Source organism: Homo sapiens, chromosome 11, assembly GCF_000001405.40.
Source record: "Homo sapiens chromosome 11, GRCh38.p14 Primary Assembly".
In the NCBI taxonomy this organism is placed as follows: domain Eukaryota; kingdom Metazoa; phylum Chordata; class Mammalia; order Primates; family Hominidae; genus Homo; species Homo sapiens.
This window is the reverse complement of record NC_000011.10, coordinates 7,794,312-7,797,200: the sequence shown is the minus strand read 5'-3', so window position 1 is coordinate 7,797,200 and position 2,889 is coordinate 7,794,312. Positions and strand designations below refer to the sequence as shown.

At 39.1% G+C, this 2,889-nt stretch overlaps 1 protein-coding gene across 1 annotated transcript; it reads left to right on the top strand.

The window, feature by feature from the left end:
• Positions 1-258: 258 nt before the first annotated feature.
• Positions 259-1,227, top strand: OR5P2 (olfactory receptor family 5 subfamily P member 2). The gene has a single exon (NM_153444.1). The coding sequence runs from the start codon at positions 259-261 to the stop codon at positions 1,225-1,227; it is 969 nt and encodes a 322-aa protein (NP_703145.1).

Here is a 2,889-nt window from a genome sequence, read left to right as displayed (position 1 = left end):
TGAAAAGGATATACATTATTTGAAGCAATTTTTTGGTGTTCTAAAACAGATTTTAAAATATAGAAAGACTGATTACACATAAATACATAAACAATGAAACCCTAAGGTAAAAAAAAAAAAGTCTGAACTTTCCTTGAATGATACATCTGTTCATATTAACCTTCATGTATATATTAATGAAGATGAAGCCATCAAATTTATAACATTTTAATGTGCTGTTCTCATTAGGGTTCATTTAGTCAGCAGCTACTTCGTCTCATGAATTCCCTGAAGGACGGGAATCACACCGCTCTGACGGGGTTCATCCTATTGGGCTTAACAGATGATCCAATCCTTCGAGTCATCCTCTTCATGATCATCCTATCTGGTAATCTCAGCATAATTATTCTTATCAGAATTTCTTCTCAGCTCCATCATCCTATGTATTTCTTTCTGAGCCACTTGGCTTTTGCTGACATGGCCTATTCATCTTCTGTCACACCCAACATGCTTGTAAACTTCCTGGTGGAGAGAAATACAGTCTCCTACCTTGGATGTGCCATCCAGCTTGGTTCAGCGGCTTTCTTTGCAACAGTCGAATGCGTCCTTCTGGCTGCCATGGCCTATGACCGCTTTGTGGCAATTTGCAGTCCACTGCTTTATTCAACCAAAATGTCCACACAAGTCAGTGTCCAGCTACTCTTAGTAGTTTACATAGCTGGTTTTCTCATTGCTGTCTCCTATACTACTTCCTTCTATTTTTTACTCTTCTGTGGACCAAATCAAGTCAATCATTTTTTCTGTGATTTCGCTCCCTTACTTGAACTCTCCTGTTCTGATATCAGTGTCTCCACAGTTGTTCTCTCATTTTCTTCTGGATCCATCATTGTGGTCACTGTGTGTGTCATAGCCGTCTGCTACATCTATATCCTCATCACCATCCTGAAGATGCGCTCCACTGAGGGGCACCACAAGGCCTTCTCCACCTGCACTTCCCACCTCACTGTGGTTACCCTGTTCTATGGGACCATTACCTTCATTTATGTGATGCCCAATTTTAGCTACTCAACTGACCAGAACAAGGTGGTGTCTGTGTTGTACACAGTGGTGATTCCCATGTTGAACCCCCTGATCTACAGCCTCAGGAACAAGGAGATTAAGGGGGCTCTGAAGAGAGAGCTTGTTAGAAAAATACTTTCTCATGATGCTTGTTATTTTAGTAGAACTTCAAATAATGATATTACATAGAACCCTATCTCTTCTCTTGAGAATACTCAATGCACGTGTAGATACAGATTTAGTGTTTGCTTTCTTGACAGTGTTGAAAGTTTCATGTAGAATCTACCACATCTTTTCTTCTCCCCATGTACCTAATTTTCAAACAGTTTCTAGAACTTAATAAGCATACTTGCATATTTAAAATGGAGAGATAAAGAAAAAATTAATGAATTAATGGATGGCTGAATGAAGCATTTGTTCCTGCTTGAACTGCTGACTCTGCTGACTTTGAATCCTGGCCACTGATCAGCTGAATGCTTCTGCCTGATTCAAGTGACTGAATGTTTAGGTGAGATCCTGCTATAACAGAGACAGGCTTTTACAACAAACCCATCCTCAGCACATCTACATCACTTCCTTGACACTTTTATAACCTAGATTAGCAACTAGAATCTCAGCCTAGTTTACTAAAAGGTTTGAATTCACACTTTACTAAATAGTTGCTCCTTTATGCATTTGCATGGTTGGAGAGCTAAAAGATCTAGAAGTCAAATGTTAGTAATAGTAGTAACAGGATTAAACTGTCTACTACATTCTGGGCACTGTTATCACTGTTTACAAGTAAAGTATTAACCTAATTATTTCTTGGAATAACTCTTTAAAGTTTTTTTAAAAATTATTGTATTACAAAGGATGTAACTGAGGCACGTAAGGTTAAGCAAAAGATCAATGGCACAAATATTCTCATAATACTTTGGCTTTTTTTAAGGCACATACTTCCTGTGGAGTGAAGGGCAATTTGAGAACACTTCACCATGAACTTTCATTTGTCTCTGACACATTTCTTTCTAGCAAACCCTTTCTGTTCACAGTAAGTATAGAGACTTCTATATCTGGATATGGCAGGCTAATTTGTATTACACCAACTTTGTGGCATGAAATACATAAGAAACTGCATATTTCTACATGTTTGAAGGCATAGATTTTTGATTACCTTGATGCTGAAGTAGCCCCATTTCTTCCAGGCCCTTCCTCTTATTACCAAAAAATCCCTATATGTAGCACAAAAACAAGTAGGAAGACTTTCAAAGGTGGAATAAAAAGGGTTAACTGCCTAGGAACTATTGGACTTGAAAAACAACATAGCAATGAAGTTTTGAGGTTTCCTTATTGCTTCCACATACCCAGGACAGGATCCTTTAGAAAATTCCAACTTAGGACTGCCAACAGACACAGACAAAAGCAAAAAACAAAAAACAACTGTAAGAAAAGACTGTTCTCTCCTGGTCAAAGAACTGGGAAAAGGGTGGCCTGGAGAGAAAAGAAAACATTTAGGCACTTCCTGCCTTACTCTAGACAAAAACCAATGGAAAAATTATGTTTCAGTGGGGCCAATCAGGGAGCCTGTTTTCCAACTGAACTGGGATCCACTTGCCCTGCACAATAACGCCAAACATCTACACCAGGTTTATAGCAGGAGAAAGGAGAGCATTTATTTGCAGAGTGCCAAGCAAGGAGAATCAAGCAGCCCTTGCTCAAGTCCCGATCTTTCCAATGGCTTGCAAGTAAGGATTTTTAAAGGTGGGGAGGCAGAGTTGACAGGCAAAGTCATAAATCGGAATATGGAGGCAATACATTGGTTTGACCTAAAAGGGTGGCAGATCTTGAAGTGGAGATAGGGAACAGATCATA